Below are 17496 nucleotides of genomic sequence, written 5' to 3'. Positions count from 1 at the left end.
CATTGGTTAGTCTTCTTGATGCTGATCTCCTGATAGTGAGTTCTCATGTGATTTGATTGCCTAACAGGATGTCACACCTCTTTCCTTTCTCTGTCTTGCTCCTACTCCTGCCATATGAAACATCTCTTTGCCGCTTGGCCTTCTGATATGGTTAGGAGGGGCCTGATCAGTGTGGGCCTGCTCAGTGGACCTAGTCAGTCGGGACTTGGTCAGTGAGGCCTATTTAGTGGGAGGTGGCCACCAGGGGTCTGCTTAGAGAGGGTCTCATTAGAGGGATCTAGTAGTGCAGGTCTTGGTGAGTGGGTTCCTAGTGGCAGACAAATATTTGGTGTCTGGTCAATGCCTACCTGGGCTGTGGGACTTGGTCACTGGAGACCTTGTCAGCTGGGGCTTAGTGATGGCCTTGTCAGATTGGGCTGGGTTACTGGTGACCAGGTCAAGGGGTGTTATTCAGTGGAGGTCTGGTCACATGGGACCTAGTCAGCAGAGGCGCTTGTCAGTGGGGCCCTGGTCAGGGCAGGCTGGTCCATGGAAACCTAATCAGTGGGGGCCTGGTCAGAGAGGACTTGATCAGTGGTGGCTTTTGTAGCACTGGTCTACGGGGTGACCTGGTCAGCGGGGATCTGAGCAGTGCATGCCTGTTCAGTGGGGCATACTTATTAGGGTCCTGGTCAGGGGCATCTGGTCACCTCAGGCCTGGTTAGCAGGGGCCTGGTCACTGGCAACATATTCCCTGCAGGCCTGGTCAGTAGGGCTTCATCTGTGGGACCAGGTAATGGGGTCATGATCGGTGGAACCTTATCAGTTAGACCTTGTAAGTAAGGACCTGGTCAGTGAGGCCTTGCCAGTGAGGCCTTGTCAGTAAGGTCCTCGTCAGTGGAGTCCTGGACATTGTGGGCCTGGCAGTGGGAATCTAGTTAGTGAGGTCTGGTGAAGGGGGTCTAATCAGTGAGGGTGTGGTCAGGGAGGATCTGATATGCTGAATCTGCTCAGCAGGGACCTGGTCAGTGGGGGCTGCTGAGCACTACTGGGAAATGTCAGGGAAAATGCATGTTATCGAGGAGGCTGTGGACAGTTGGCGTGGCCCAGTGGTGTTCAATGGCCCAGTCAAAAGTGGACAAAGCAGGTGTCTGGATGGACCTGGGAGTTCTTGCGCCAAGGAACAGGCAGGGTGGGCAGCTGGGTTTCAGGGAGAGGCAGGTGCATGCTGGGAGGTCAGACCCTGTGAGGGCTGTGGGGGCATCAGGTGGGGTTGGCTCCAGGTGCACCCTCAGTGCACTGAGCAGGTCTTGGCCCAGGCTTTCTGGACCCCGGCCGGGTGATGTGGTCACTTACTGGGGGACTGTTGTCAGGCGCTGGCCGCCCACCCTGGGTAGCACTGTCCCATCTCAGGACTGGACTTCCTCAGATCCTGCAGAGGGCACAGCCTCCAGCCCAGGAGAGGCAGCCCCTTGGTGGAGCCTGAGCTCTCCATGGGCATGGAGCATCACCTGCCAGCCCTGTGCTCTCTCTTCTCCCAGGTCCTGCTTTTCCAGGGTCAGCCAGTGGAGAGGCCCCATCCTCCCTTCCCTATGTGTCTCCTGGGCTGAAACTTGCAGTGCACTGGGATAGGGATGAGGCTTCCCTAAGGCCCATTTAGGGAGAGGACTGGCTCCCAGCTGGGCACAGGTCCTCAGCTCTGCCTTGGTTGCCTTAGAATGAGATGGATCTCATTCTAAGATTGGCTGGTCTAGGGATGGAGGACTTAACAGGTCCTCCCAGTCTGTCAGGCCTGGGCAGCACTGTCCTGTCTCAGGACTCAGAAAGTCCATTCCTGGGATGTGACGGTGCTGCCCAGGGGGGGTGGCCAGGGTCTGACAGCAGTCCCCCAGGGAGTGACCACATCACCCAGCCGGGGTCCAGGGAGCCTGGCCTGAGACCTGCCCAGTGCACTGAGGGTGAACCTGGAGCCCACTCCACCTGATGAGCCCACAGCCCTCACAGGTCCTGACCTCCCAGCATGCACCTGCCTCGCCCTGCACCCCAGCTGTCCACCCTGCCTGTTCCCTCACTTCCTCCATCCTGTCCAGCAGGATGGGATGGGCAGGGGGACAGCCTGTGTGCACATTTCATGGCAAGCAGGAGTGACACACCATCCCTGGGAGGCGCCTTGGTTCCTCCCAAACCCAGCCCCAGAACTCTGTCCCTGGGGTGGTTTTACCAAACCCCAAACCCAGAACTGTGGTTGTGGCTCGGGGGTCAGCACCCGCTAGTTCTACAATGTCGCCAAGGACTTTGACTGTACTTTATTCTTCTTTTCAATAGTCATTCCAAATATTGTGAGATGCATTGTTTCAGGAAGCCCCTTGCCCTCCTAAAAGCCACCCTACTTCTCTCTAAGGAGAATGGCCCAGTCCTCTCCCGAGCTCACACAGGGGAGGTGATAGCATTGCTTTTGTGTAAATTACATAATGCAAAATTTTTTAAATCTTTGCATTAATACTTTTAAATTTTGTTTTATTTTGAATGATTAGCCTTCATTGCCCCCCTTTTTTGTACCCCAACTTGGAGTGTATGAAGGGTTTTGGTCTCCCTGAGAGTGGCTGGAGGCAGCCAGGGCTTACCTGTACTCTGCCTTGAGAAAAGTTGGATAAAAGTGCACATCTTAAAAAAAACTGAATGATGAAGAATTAACAAAAACAGAATTTCAATACAGTGGACAGCTTAGCATTTTGACAATTGGAAATAAAATGCACAGTTCTGAACTGTACAATGTAAGACACAAAAACGAAACACTGGAAATGGAAATTCAATTATGTCACTGTAGACTGGCTACTGCTCTACATGATTGTGACCAAAGTCAGAGAGTTGCAAGAGATTTCTTTCCAGAGAACAAGACATGAACAGGTTTATTTACAGAAAACAATGAATTCTCATATATCTAACCTAAAAGATAACAGATTCTTTCAGAACAAGTCTAATGTAGACAGTAAAATTAACGGGCTAAAAATTAAGCTCCATCAAACAAGACGAACTCTGAGAGAATAGATGGGGCAGGCCGCCATCTTTCCTGTTCAGGCAACTTGGTCATTCCAGCCTGAAGGCTTTGGAGAGTACAAACCGACCAGGGGCAGAAGAGATCCCACAGCACAGCATGGCTGCTTTACCAAATCATGGCCAGACTGCTTCTGTAAGCAGGCCCCTGACTCTGTTGCATGTCACTGGAAAGGACCTCCCAACTGGGGTCCCAGCTACGGCCACCAGCATTCCTTGGCCAATGGAAATTTGAAGTGTTCCCGGGACAGAGCTCCCAGAGAGAGGGGCAGGCCACCACCTTTGCTGTTTGGGTGACTAGCCATTCTGGACTGCGAGATTTGGAAACCCCAAGGTGACAAGGGGTGGAAGAGGAACCTCAGCACAGCACAGCCACACTACAAAAACGTGGCCAGACTCTTGTTTAAGTCAGTCCCCGAACACATTTCTAATCAGTGGGTGAAGCCTTTCAACCAGGGTCTCCAGCTACCTTCACTGCTGTTCTCTGGCCGACAGAGGTTTCAGGCCTCCCTGAGTCAGAGCTCCCAGGGGGAGGACCAGACTGTCATCTTTGCTGTTGGGGCAACTCAGCCATTTCAGCCTTAGGGCTTCAGAGTGTCTGAGGCGACAAGGTGTGGAAGTGAACCCCCGGCATAGCACAGCTGCTCTAGAAAAACGTGGCCAGACTTTTTTTTAAGCAAGTCCCTGTTCTTGTTCCTCCTGACTAGATAAGACTTCTCAACTTGTCTCCAGTCATATCTTATAGGTGTGTTCATATAGGCAACAAGTTCGTACCTCAGTGGCCCAGAGCTCCCAGAGGAAGGGGCAGGCTATCATCTTCCCTGGAAAATACAAGGCAAATAGGGACTGGAGGGACCCCCAGCATACCACAGCAGCCTGACAGGAAAGTGGCCGGACAGTCTACTTGATGGACAAGTCCTCCTGGCCTGGGTCTCCAGCCAGTCCACCATTGGAGCTATCAAGCCAGTAGCAACTCAGCAATTCCCTGGACAGAGCTTCCAGGAGCAAATGAAATTCCCTCTGCCACTGTCTCTGCAGTGGAACTGCCCTTGCTACCCTCAGAATATCAAGGGAGCAAAGACCCTAAGTGCCATATCGACACCTCCAATAAGCTGCAGTTGACCCAACGAACAAGCCAGTCCATCTCCCACGGGTACCACACACCCCACACTGCTCATCACCAGAGAGGGAACCCTGGCTTGGGCTTACAACACAGACCCTCCATCCTGGGCTGATTACGCTAAGTGATTGCTAACTCACATCTCTCCGGGATGGAGCACCCAGGAGACAAGCAGAGTGCTGGAGCAGCAAGTCAGGTGATGTGGAGCCCAGAGGGCAGGGACAGCTATCTCTCTAGGCTCCACTTGCCCTTGTGAGACACTTTATCCCAGCACTTTAGAAATGCTAAGCTCAGATCAGCCCCATCTCATGTTCAAGATTGCCCAGCAGAGATCAGGTCAGAGAGTTCCCCTCTTAAAAAAGGGGACTTGCTTAAAAAAGAAGACTGGCCATGTTTGTGTAAAGCAGCTATGCTGTGCTGGGGGTTCACTTTTGAGGGAGTTCTCCTCTGAGACCTGATCTCTGCTGGGCAGTCTTGCCCATGAGATGGGGCACTCCTTAGTCTGCTTGCCTCTCCCAGGACCCCAGCCTGGCCACACCTGCTTACAGGGCACTCTCGGATGCCCACAGCATAGCTTCCGTGCTAGTGGACCGTAGCTGATCAGTGGAGAGCTGCAGCAAGGTGGCCCCAACAGCCACGCACCAGTCTGCACATTACCTCTCCATGCTGCAGCCCTTTATATGGAAACTTCCTACATCACTTTGCTGTGTGTGTTTACACAGGTGGGTTTTGCTGTACTTGCCCTGACAGCACACGGGAGTGCAGCACACACACCAACCCACACCAACTGCCATTGAAGACAGAGCCTTGGTGGGCACAGAACCAAGAACCCCATCCCTGCCAGCACCTCACCCTTGACCTAATGCTGTGCAGAGAAAAAGGGACATTCTTATACCCTGAGCGACCACTGTTTCTTTGAGGGGCACAGAGAAGGCACCATGGTCTGCACTGGCCAGCAGCTCACCCTGAACCAACACTACCTCCAGTGCAACACACACACAGCAGGGGAGCCCTGGCCCACACCCCAGCTGTCTTGCCTCCACCACTGGGTGAACGCCCGCAGGGAGGAAGGGAATTTTGCATCCACTAGCATTCCGCCACAGTTGCCACACTTCGGTCCCCTCAGTGCAGTGGACTCCAAACCTCGAGGAGCCAGAGAACAAAGTTGGGGCCTAAGACAAGTTCCCTAGAGTTAAAGCACACAGTCCAGGAATTGGGAGCTGCACATTGGCCTCCCCAAAATCCTCCAAAAACAAAGCCAGTTGGTTGAATCCACCTTATACCACAATGAAACCCTCAAGATCATCAAATACAATAAAACAAAAATACCCTGTCCGAAGGTCAGCAACCTCAAAGATGGAAGGTGGATAAGCCCATAAAGATGAGAAAGAATCTGTGTGAGAACACTGAAAACTCAAAAAGTCAGCATGCCTTCTTTCCTCCAAATGACTGCATCAACTCTCCAGCAAGTGTTCAGAACTGGGCTGAGGCTGAGATGTCTGGAATGATACAAGCAGGGTTCAGGATATGCGTAGGAACAAAGTTCACTGAGTGAAAGAAGTATGTTGTCATGCAATACAAGTGAGCTAAAAATCATTGTAAAACATTGCAGGAGCTAACAGACAAAATAGCAAGTATAAAGAAGACATAACCGACCTAATAGAGCTGAAAAGCACACTACAAGAATTTTCATAATGGAGTCACATGGTGATTATGTGTGATTGCATTATGAAAATTATTGTAGTGTGTGTGGGCACCCGATATTGCCCTGTAAGCAGGTGTGGCCAGGCTGGGGTCCTGGGAGAGGCAAGCAGACTAAGGAGGGCTGAGGTCAGAACAGCTCCATCTCATGTGCAAGACCACCCAGCAGAATAGACCAAACAGAGGAAAGAATCCCAGAGCTTGAAAACTGGCTTTCTGAAACAAAACAGGCAGACAAAAATGGAGGAAAAGGAATGAACAAAACATCCGAGAAATATGGGATTATATAAACGACCAAATCTATGACTGATTAATGTACCTGAAAGAGATGAGGAGAATGGAACCAATTTGGAAAACATACTTCAGAATATCCTTCATGAGAATGTCCGAAACCTAGCCAGACAGGCCAACATTCAATTTCAGGAAATCCAGAGGACTTCAGTAAGATATGCCACGAGAATATCATCCCCAAGACATATAATCATCAGATTCTCCAAGGTCAAAATGAAAGAAACAATGTTAAAGGCCGCTAGAGAGTTAAAATGGTTAAAATGAGAGCTAGAGAGTTAAATGGTTAAAAAAAAAGAAAAGAAATTTCAACCCAGAATTTCATGTCCAGCAAAATTAAGCATCATAAGTGAAGGAGAAACAAGACCCTTTTCAGACAAACAAATGCTGGGAGAATTCATTATCACCAGATCTACCTTACAAGTGCTCCTGAATGAAGCACTAAATATGGAAAGAAAAGACCATCACCAGCCACTACAAAAATGCACCGAAGTACACAGACCAGTGATGCTAAAAACCGACCACATACACAAGTCTGCAAAATAACCAGCTGACAGCATGACGACAGGATCCAATCCACACATACCATTACTAACCTTAAATGGAAATGGGCTAAATGCTCTGATTGAAAGACGCAGGGGGGCAAGATGGATAAAGAACCAAGACCCATTTGAGTATGCCGTCTCCAAGAAACCCATCTCACATGCGGTGCCATACATAGGCTCAAAATAAAGGAATGGAGAAAAATCTTTCAAGCAAACGGAAAACAGAAAAAAGCAGGTGTTGCACTCCTAGTTTTGACAAAACGTATATACCAATAAAGATAAAAAAAGACAGAGAAAGACATAAAAAGGTGGTCCTGACCTTTGATAAATCTCATTATTGCTTGATACCAACCTGGGCTATCTTTATTGCCCAAATCAACGGATAATTTGCTGAGGTTGTGGAGCTTCTCCCCTGCAGAGGTTCCCTGATCTCCCAAAATCTGGTTGAGAACTAAGGTTGATTTTGCTGTACAACTCCTTTTCTGAAGTTTTACTCATTTCCAACAAAGAAGGCAAGTTTTCCTGCTTCCATGATGATGGAGAGCAGGCACCTCCTTTCCTGAGTTTCAGCTTGCTTCTGACAGGGAAGGTGAGTGTAAGTTTTTTCCAGCTTCTAAGATGGCAGAGAACGACCACCAGCCTGAGCCTTATTTCCAGGTAAGTAGCTGAATTAGAGTTTTGTCTTAAAATTTTTCCTTAATGAATAAAATTTAAGATTACTCACCAGCTGCTTTTAATTTCTGCTTTTAATTTCTCCTTACCATTAGAACACTCAGTAATCATATGAATTGTGCATTTGTTGTTTTGCTTAACTCTTTGTTTGTTTATGCTTGGGGTTTTATTGTTGTTGTTTCACTTTTCTCCCATCTCTTCCTGACTTGGTCAAATCCAAAGGAATGTTCCAAATTGTAGGGAGCAAGGCCTCTGAATTGGCTAAAACTCCTATGGCTGCAAAAAGAAACAAACAAATAAACAACAACAAAAAGCATTCCAGTTAGCAGAAATTATTTTTTAAACCTTTTTTTTTACGTAAGTGGTCTCATCTACATAAAAAGGTCACCCTTTTGCTAGCCAAGGCCAAACTGAAGGAGTAGCTGTGGTGACCCAATGTGAAGATTCTGCCCTGTTCACTACAGAAACCTGAGTTTGGTTCCTAAGTCTAGTTCTTTCTGTTTGATATTTGTGTTACTTTTAAAACGTCAGCAGTTTGTCCCAGCTATGATGTGGTAGTAAAAGATTCAAAAGGGTTTTCTTTACAAGTTCTATGATTAAAAGCTTAATTAAAAACAAATTTCTTTTTTTTTTAATTATACTTTAAGTTCTGGGGTACATGTGCAGAACATGCAGGTTTGTTACATAGGTATACACATGCCATGGTGGCTTGCTGCATCCATCAACCCATGATCTACATTAGTTATTTCTCCTAATGCCATCCCTCTCCTAGCCCCCCACGCTGACAGGCCCTGGTGTGTGATGTTCCCCTTCCTGTGTCCATGTGTTCCCATTGTTCAACTCCAAGTTATGAGTGAGAACATGTGGTGTTTGGTTTTCTGTTCTTGTGTTAGTTTGCTGAGAATGATGCTTTCCAGCTTCATTCATGTCCCAGCAAAGGACGTGGATTCATCCTTTTTTATGGCTACATAGTATTCCATGGTGTATATATGCCACATTTACTTTATCTAGTCTATCATTGGTGGGCATTTGGGTTGGTTCCAAGTCGTTGGTTTTGTGAAAAGTGCCGCCATAAACAGACAGGTGCATGTGTCTTTATATTAGAATGATTTATAATTTTGGGGGTATATACCCAGTAATGGGATTGCTGGGTCAAATGATATTTCTGGTTGTAGATCCTTGAGGAATTGTCACACTGTCTTCCACAATGGTTGAACTAATTTATATTCACACCAACTGTGTAAAAGCGTTCCTATTTCTCCACATCCTGTCCAGCATCTGTTGTCCCCTGATTTTTTAACGATAGCCATTCTAAGTGCTGTGAGATTGTATCTCATTGTGGTTTTGATTTCTATTTCTCTAATGACCAGTGATGATGTGCTTTGCTTCACATGTTCGTTGGCTGTATAAATGTCTTCTTTGGTAAGTGTCTGTTCATATCCTTTGTCCACTTTTTGATGGGGTTGTTTGTTTTTTTTCTTGTAAGTTTGTTCTTTGTAGATTCTGCATATTAGCCCTTTGTCAGATGGATAGATTGCAACAATTTTCTCCCATTCTGTGGGTTGCCTGTTCACTCTGATAATAGTTTCTTTTGCACAGCAGATACTGTTTAGTTTAGTTAGATCCCATTTGTCAATTTTGGCTTTTGTTGCCATTGCTTTTTGTGTTCTGGTGATGAAGTCTCTGCCCATGGCTCTGTCCTGAATGGTATTGCCTAACACAAGGACATTTCTGTGCCTGAGTGCTATACCACCCAAAGTAATTTATAGATTCATTGCTATCCTAATTAAGCTACCATTGACTTTCTTCATAGAATTAGAAAAACTACTTTAAATTTCATATGGAACCAAAAAAGAGCCCACATAGCCAAGACAATCCTAAGCAAAAACAACAAAGCTAGAGGCATCACAGTACATGACTTCAAATTATTCTACAAGGCTTCAGTAACCAAAACAGCATGGGGCTGGTACCAAATCAGATCTATAGACCAATGGAACAGAACAGAGGCCTCAGAAATGACACCACACATCTAAAACCATCTGATCTTTGACAAACCTGACAAAAACAAGCAATGGGTAAAGGATACCCTATTTAATAAGTGATCTTGGGAAAACTGGCTAGCCTTATGCAGAAAACTGAAACTGGGCCACACCCATACACCTTAAACAAAAATTAAGTAATATGGATGAAAGAGTTAAATGCAAGACCTAAAACAATAAAAAATCTAGAAGAAACCTAGGCCACCAACCTCAGGGAAAATGTACCTGTAGTGAAATGCATGGTACAAACACGCATTCCCTGCTTCCTTGAGTGGGTGACGTTGATGGCTAGTCCAATCACTCCAGGCACACCCTTGCAAACGTGGCTGGTTCCTTTTTGAGCCAGCTTGGCTTTGCCCGGCATGCACAAGTCAGTGCAACAACTGTGACACAAATGGAGCCATACAGAGAAAATGAGCAGCAGGCTCAGGAGCAGGGTGTGCGCTGCCTTGGGGGCTCCAGTCCATGCCTCAAGGCTCATATGGCACTGCGGGCTTCTTGGTTGCAAAGAGGCAGACCACAGGCCATCTTCAGGAGGCCTTTATGTTGAAGTGCAGAAAGCAGCCAGGATTACCACCCGTGGGACTCGGCCTTTTGTGACCCTGGCCTGACAGAGTTTGGCCCAAGGCAGGGCAAGCTCACTCAGAGCAACGTGTCAGTACCTGGGGCCTGTGCATGCCAGTCAAGGCCAGGCTGGCTCAAAGAGCAACCAACCACCTCTGCAAGGGTGTGCCTGGAGCAGGTGGACCAGCCACCAACCTCACCCACTGAAGGAAGCCAGGATGGCCAGGTTTCCACAGCCTGAGTGGCTGCCTCCTGATGGCTGATGGAGCAGAGGCCTGAGGAAAAGCAGGTGGCATGTTTAACTCTTTAATCTATCTTAAGTTAATTTTTGTATAAAGCAGAAGGTACCGGTCCATGCCTCGGGGTTCATATGGCACTGTGGGCCACAGAAGGCTGAGTCCCCTGGGTGGTAATCCTGCCTGCTTTCTGCACTTGAACATAAAGTCCTCCTCAAGACGGCCTGTGGTCTACTTCTCGGCCCCACCTTTAGGGTAGAAGAACTGATGTACCATGTCTGACAGTGAGTGAGGTTGGCGGCTGGTCCACCTGCTCCTGGCACACCTTGCAGAGGTGGCTGCTTGCTCTTTGAGCCAGCTTGGCCTTGCCTGGCATGCACAAGCCTCACTGCAACAAGTGTATAACAAATGGAGCCATAAAGAGGAAATGATCAGCAGGCTCAGGAATGGGGTGTGCACTGCCTTTGTGGCTCCAGTCCATGTCTCAGGGCTCGTATGGCACTGTAGGCTTCTTAGTCGCCAAGAGGCAGACCACAGACGGTGTTGAGGAGGACTTTATGTTCAAGTGCTGAAAGCAGCCAGGATTAGCACCCAGGGAACTCGGCCTTCTGTGGCCCTGGCCAGAGGTAGAATTTGGCCCAACACACTACAAGCTGACCTGGAACAGCATATAGGTAGCTGGGGCCTGTGCATGCCAGGCAAGGCCAAGCTGGATCAAAGAGCAAGCAGCCACCTCTGCAAGGGTGTGCCTGGAGCAGGTGGAGCAACCACCAACCTCACCCACTCAAGGAAGCAGGGATGGCCAGATTCCTACAGCCTGAGGGGCTGCCTCCTGATGGCTGATGGAGCAGAGGCCTGAGGAAAAGCAGATAGCACTGTGGCCCTACCTGTAGGGTAGAAGAACTGATGTACCCCGACCGGCAGCAAGTCAGGTTGGTGGCTGGTCCACCAGCTCCAGGCACACCCTTGCAGAGGTGGCCGGTTGCTTTTTGAGCCAGCTTGGCCTTCCTCAGCATGCACTAGTCAGTGCAACAACTGTGACACAAATGGAGCCACACAGAGAAAATGAGCAGCACGCTCAGGAGCAGGGTGTGCGCTGCCTTGGGGGCTCCAGTCCATGCCTCAAGGCTCATATGGCACTGCGGGCTTCTTGGTTGCAAAGAGGCAGACCACAGACCATCTTCAGGAAGCTTTTATGTTGAAGTGCAGAAAGCAGCCAGGATTACCACCCGTGGGACTCGGCCTTTTGTGGCCCTGGCCTGACAGAATTTGGCCCAAGGCAGGACAAGTTCACTCGGAGCAACGTGTCTGTACCTGGGGCCTGTGCATGCCAGGCAAGGCCAAGCTGGCTCAAAGAACAACCAGAGCATCCATTCTGGTGGATGAGCCAACCACATGGCCAGCTTCTGGGTGTGGGCACAGTGCCACATCTTCCATCACTTTCTGATATATCCCAACACCACTGAAGAGACAGCCTGGAGAGAGTGCAAGAGGAAGGCTGAGAAGGATGAGATGGTGAGTGCTGGCTTCTTTCTGACCCTCAGCACACCCCCACGTGGTGACCATCAACCTTTAGGGGTGGGAGAGCAAGACTGATGGCTTCAAATACTTCCCCAAGAAGATGGGCACAGGCCACTCAGCTCAACCTCACAGGCAATGAGTTGACATGCAAGCAGATGACAGTGACAGGCTTTTAGAAAGAGCTTCAGAAGGCGGCCAGTTTTTCTTCAGCCTCAGCCAGGCCTTGGAACTTGACTAGGCCATCCACTTCACCAGAGATGCCTTCAAGAACATCAGTGAGCTCCTTGCCAATCCGTCCAGGAAGGACCTGGACCCAGCCACGGACCTGTTAGTGCTGTCTCAGGGACACCAGACCAACATCCTGGACATCATCCTCATACACAAGGAAGCTCTTACCACAGTCATGGAGAACAGGCAACATGTGGCAGAAGGGAAGACACAGGTACAGAGGCTGATGGCATCATTATCACAGGAACAGGATTTCTTTGGCCACTTTGGCTGAAATTCACCACTTCCATCCAATCCACTCAAGCGAGAGACTTGAAATCACAGATGGAGCATTTCTTGCAACAGGAGATACTATTTTTTCAAAAAGTCACCTAAAATTTGATAGTGTTGGATGACTAGCTATTCGATTGTGGTCTTTTTCCAGTTCAAGGGTACTTTCTACAGCAGAATGATAACAATATCAAAGAGCTAGTGCCAGCTATCGGTGGTAGTACAAGGATGACTTTGTGCTCAACTGAAACCCAGCTGAATATAGAATTGTGTAGGAAAGTGTTAATATGGTGATAGAACAGAAACAGTAGCAAATGAACTAAATCATACTATGAATGCCTACACTACCATTATAACTTTTTGAAGAATGATAATACCGCTTACTTTATTGCCTTTTGAAGTAGGAATATTTTAGTGGATATGCTATAGACCTGAAACCATATAAAGAATCCCAAAGAAGCTGGCTGGATAAAGCCTGCTATGGATGTCTTTATACACAAAGACTGATGAGGCAATTCGAATATGTGTCCCCACCAAATCTCATGTTGAGTTATGCTTCCTAATGTTGGAGGTGGATCCTGGTATAAGGTGATTGAATCATGAAGGCAAATTTCTCATGAGTGGTTCAGCACTATCCCCTTGGTACTGTCCTCACAATCATGAGTGACTTCTCGTGAGATCTGGCCACTGAAAACTCTATATCACTCCCTACTCTCCGTGATTTCCTCTTGCCATGTGAGACAATTCACTCTTTCATTACCTTGCACAATGATTGAAAGATTTCTGAGGCCCCCCAGAAGCAGAAGCACTAAGCTTCCTGTCCACTCTGCAGAACCATGAGCCAATTAAACCTCTTTTTCAAAATAAATCTTACCAAAAATGGCAAATGAGGACTGGAGCATTGCTATAAAGATACCTGAAAATGTGGAAGCAACTTCGGAACTGGGTAATGGGTAGAGGTTGGAAGAGTTTGGAGGGCTCCAAAGAAGACAGACAGATGAGAACATTTTTGGACTATCTTAGAGACTGGTTAAATGGCTGTGACAAGAATTCTGACAAAAACATGGACAGTGAAGGCCAGGCTGAGGGGGCCTCAGATAAAAATAAGAAGCTTTCTGGAAAATGTCTCCCTTTTGGATATGGAAAGCTTACACAATGCCTGTACCATCATTGTACCTTAGACGCAGTGAACTTGCTTTTTATTTCAGAGACTCGTAGGCAAAAGAGAATGTAGCCTTGACCCAGATGAGACTTTGGACTTTGTAACTTTGAGTTAATGCTGAAATGAGTTAAGACTTTGGGAGACTGCTGGCAAGGCATGACTGTATTTTGCAATGTGAGAAGGACATGAGATTTGTGGGGTCAGGGACAGAATAATACGGTTTTTCTCTATGCCCCTTCCAAAACTCATGTGAAAGTACACTCCCTAATGTTAGAGTTGGGGCCTAGGTGGAAAAAGCTTTAATCATAAAGGAGTGGGAGTGGATCCTTCACAAATGGCAAAGCACCAAGCCCTTAATGCCATCCTCCTGATAGTGAGTGAGTTCTCATGAGATCTAGTAGTTTAAAAGGCTGTGGAACCTCTTTCCTCTCTCTGTCTTGTTCCAACTTCTGCCATATGAAACATGTCATTGCCGCTTGGATTTCCAGTGTGGTTAGGAGGGGCCTGATCAGTGTGGGCCTGGTCAGTGGACCTAGGTCAGTGAGGACTATTTAGTGGGATCGTGGTCAGCAGGGGTCTGCTTACAGAGGGTCTCATTAGTGGGGTCTAGTAGTGGGGGTTTTGGTGAGTGGGGACCTATTGGCTGCCAGTTGTTTGGTGTCTGGTCAGTGCAAACCTGGGCTGTGGGGCTTGATCAGTGGAGACCTGGTCAGCTGGGACTTAGTGCTGGCCTGGTCAGCATGGGCTGGGGCACCGGTGACAAGGTCAAGGGGTGCTATTCAGTGGAGGACTGGGCACATGGGACCTAGTCAGCAGACCCTGGTGGGCGTGTCCTCATCAGTGAGGCCCTTCTCAGTGGGGCCCTGGTCAGGGCAGCCTTGTCAGCGGGACCTAATCTGTAGCGTCCTGGTCAGAGAGGACTTGGTCAGTGGTGACTTTTGTAGCACTGTTCTACAGGATGACCTGGTCAGCGGGGATCTCAGCATTTGGTTCCAGTTCAGTGGGGTCTACTCACTAGGGTCCCAGTCAGGGGCATCTGGTGACCTTAGGCCTGGTTATTAGGGGCCTGATCGGTGGCAACCTGTTCCCTGGAGGCCTGGTCAGTGGGGCCTCATCTTTGGGGCCAGGGAATGAGGTCATGATCAGTGGAACCTGATCAGTGAGGCCTTGTCAATAATGACCTAGTCAGTGAGGACTTGTCAGTAAGGACTTGGTCCCTGAGGCCTTGTCAGTGAGGCCTTGTCAGTAAGGTCCTGGTCAGTGGAGTCCTTGTCATTGTGTGCCTGGCAGTGGGGGCCTTGTTAGTGGGGCCTGGTCATGAGGGTCTAATCAGTGAGTGTGTCATCAGGGATGACCTGATGTGCGGGGTCTGGTCAGCAGGGACCTGGTCAATGTGGGCTGCTGAGCACTGCTTGGATAAGCCAGGTGCAATGTGCATTATTGAAGGCCCTGTGGACAGCTGGGATAGCCCAGTGATGCCCAAGGGCCTAGTCAAAAGTGGACAAAGCACGTGTTTGGATGGACCTGGGAGATCCTGCTCAGAGATTCTGAGAGGACAAAGGTAAAGGAAGGGCCAGAGTGGCTGCAGAGATGGTCACAGTCTATGGGCTGCACAGGATGAAGGAGGCCAGGGAACAGGCAGGGTGGGCAGTTGGGGTTCAGGGAGAGGCAGGTGCATGCTGGGAGGTCAGACCCTGTGAGGGCTTCGGGGGCGTCAGGTTGGGTAGGCTCGAGGCACTCTCACTCACATAGGATTCCATAACACTGCTACAAGGCTCTGAGTGTTTGTCCCTCACATAGGATTCCAGAACACTGCTGCCATTGTCTGAATGTTTGTCCCCCACATAGGATTCCAGAAGCCTGCTGCTGGGGTCTGAATGTTTGTCCCCCATCTAGGATTCCAGAACACTGCTGCGAGGGTCTGAATGTCTGTCCCTCACATATGATTCTAGAACATTGATGCTAGGGTCTGTATGTTTGCCCTTAACATATGATTTCAAAACACTGCTCCTGGATTCTGAATGTTTGACCTTCACATAGGAATACAGAACACTGCTGCTGGAGTCTGAATGGTTGTCACTCACATAGAATTCCAGAACACTGCTGTGAGGATCTGAATGCTTGACCCTCACATGGGATTCCAGAACACTGTTGCGAGGGTCTAAATGTCTGTCCCTCACACAGGTTTCCCGAACAATGTTACGAGGTTCTGAATGTTTGTCCCTAACATAGGATTCCAGAGCACTCCTGCTGTGCTCTGAATGCTTCTCCCTCACATAGGATTCCAGAACACTGCTACGAGGGTCTGAATGCTTATCCCTCATATAGGATTCCAGAACACTTCTGCTGTGGTCTGAATGTTTGCTCCTCACATAGGATTCCAGAATACTCCTGCCGTGGTCTGAATGTTTGTCCCTCACATAGGATTCCAGAACATTCATGCTGGGGTCTCAGTGTTTCCCTTAACATAGGATTTCAGAACACTGCTCTTGGGGTCTGAATGTTTGTCGCTCACATAGGATTACAGAACACTGCTGCTGGAGTCTGAATGTTTGTCAGTCACAGAGAATTCCAGAACACTGCTACAAGGGTGTGAATATTTCTCCCTCACCTAGTATTCCAGAACACTGTTGCAAGGGTCTGAATGTTGGTCCGTCATATAGGATTCCAGAACACTGATGCTGTGGTCTGAATGTTTGTCTCTCACATAGAATTCCGGAACACTGCTACAAGGGTCTGAATGTTTGTCCTTCACATACCATTCCAGAACACTGCTGCCGTGGTCTGAATGTATGTCCCTCACATAGGATTCCAGAACACTGCTACTAGGTTCTGAATGTTTTTCCCACACCTAGGATTCCAGAACACTTCTGCTGGTGTCTGAATGGTTGTTCCTCACGTATGATTCCAGGACACGGCTATGAGAGTCTTAATGTTTGTCCTTCACATAGGATTCTAGAACACTGCTCCCGTGGTCTGAATGTTTGTCCTTCACATAGCATTCCAGAACACTGCTGCTGGGGTCTGAATGTCTGCCCCTCAAATCAGATTCCAGAGCACTGCTGCTGGGGTTTGAATGTCTTTCCCTCACATAGAATTCCAGAACACGGCTGGGAGGGTCTGAATGTTTGTCCCTCACATGGGATACCAGAACACTGCTGCGAGGGTCTAAATGTCTCTCCCTCACATAAGATTTCAGGACACTGCTACGAGGTTCTGAATGTTTGTCCCTCACAAAGGATTCCAGAGCACTCCTGCTGTGGTCTGAATATTTGTCCCTCACATAGGATTCCAGAACACTGCTGCTGGGGTCTGAATGCTTGTCCCTCACATACGATTACAGAACACTGTTGGTGAGGAGTGAATGTTTGTCCCTCACATAGGATACCAGACCACTGCTGTTGGGGTCTCAATGTCTGTCCCTCAAAAAGGATTCCAGAACACTGTTACGAGGGTCTGAATTTTTGTCCCTCACTTAAGACTGCAGAACACTGCTTCGAGGGTCTAAATGTCTGTCCTTCACATAGGATTCCAGAACACTGCTACGAGGGTCTGAATGTTTGTCCTTCACATAGCATTTCAGAACTGCCATGGTCTGAATGGTTGTCCCTCACATAGTATTCCAGAACACTGCTATGAGGGTCTGAATGTTTGTACCTCACATAGGATTCCAGAACACTGCTACGAGGGTCTGAAAGTTTGTCCCTCACATAGGATTCCAGAAGACTGCTGCTGGGGTCTGAATGTCTGTCCCTCACATCGGATTCCAGAACACTGCTGCTGGGGTTTGAATGTATGTCCCTCACATAGAATTCCAGAAGACTGCTGGGAGAGTCTGAATGTTTGTCCCTCACATAGGATTCCAGAACACTGCTATGAGGGTCTGAATGTTTGTCCTTCACATAGGATTCCAGAACACTCCTTCTGGGGTCTGAATGTTTGTCCTTCACATAGGATTCCAGAGCACTCCTGCTGTGGTCTCAATGTTTGTTAATCACATAGGATTCCAGAACACTGCTACAAGGATCTGAATGTTTGTCCCTCACATAGGATTCCAGAATACTCCTGCTATGGTCTCAATGCTTGTCCCTCACATAGGATTCCAGAACATTCATGT

At 48.3% G+C, this 17496-nt stretch overlaps 1 long non-coding RNA gene and 1 pseudogene across 2 annotated transcripts in view; one reads left to right on the top strand and one right to left on the bottom strand.

Moving 5' to 3' along the window:
• Window positions 1-7039: 7039 nt before the first annotated feature.
• Window positions 7040-17496, bottom strand: part of LOC101927209 (uncharacterized) — a 46966-nt gene continuing 36509 nt past the window's right edge. The window contains exon 3 of one of the 2 annotated variants that reach the window (XR_007058113.1): window positions 7040-7635. This is a non-coding gene — a long non-coding RNA (uncharacterized LOC101927209). The remainder of the gene's footprint in view (window positions 7636-17496) is intronic. The other variant, XR_007058112.1, reaches the window with a different exon arrangement.
• On the top strand, window positions 11573-12527 carry LOC100419003 (sorting nexin 18 pseudogene; annotated as a pseudogene).

This window comes from Homo sapiens, chromosome 4, assembly GCF_000001405.40.
Source record: "Homo sapiens chromosome 4, GRCh38.p14 Primary Assembly".
NCBI classification, from domain to species: Eukaryota; Metazoa; Chordata; class Mammalia; order Primates; family Hominidae; genus Homo; species Homo sapiens.
The sequence above is the reverse complement of the archived record's forward strand: the minus strand, read 5'-3'. Positions and strand labels throughout refer to the sequence as shown.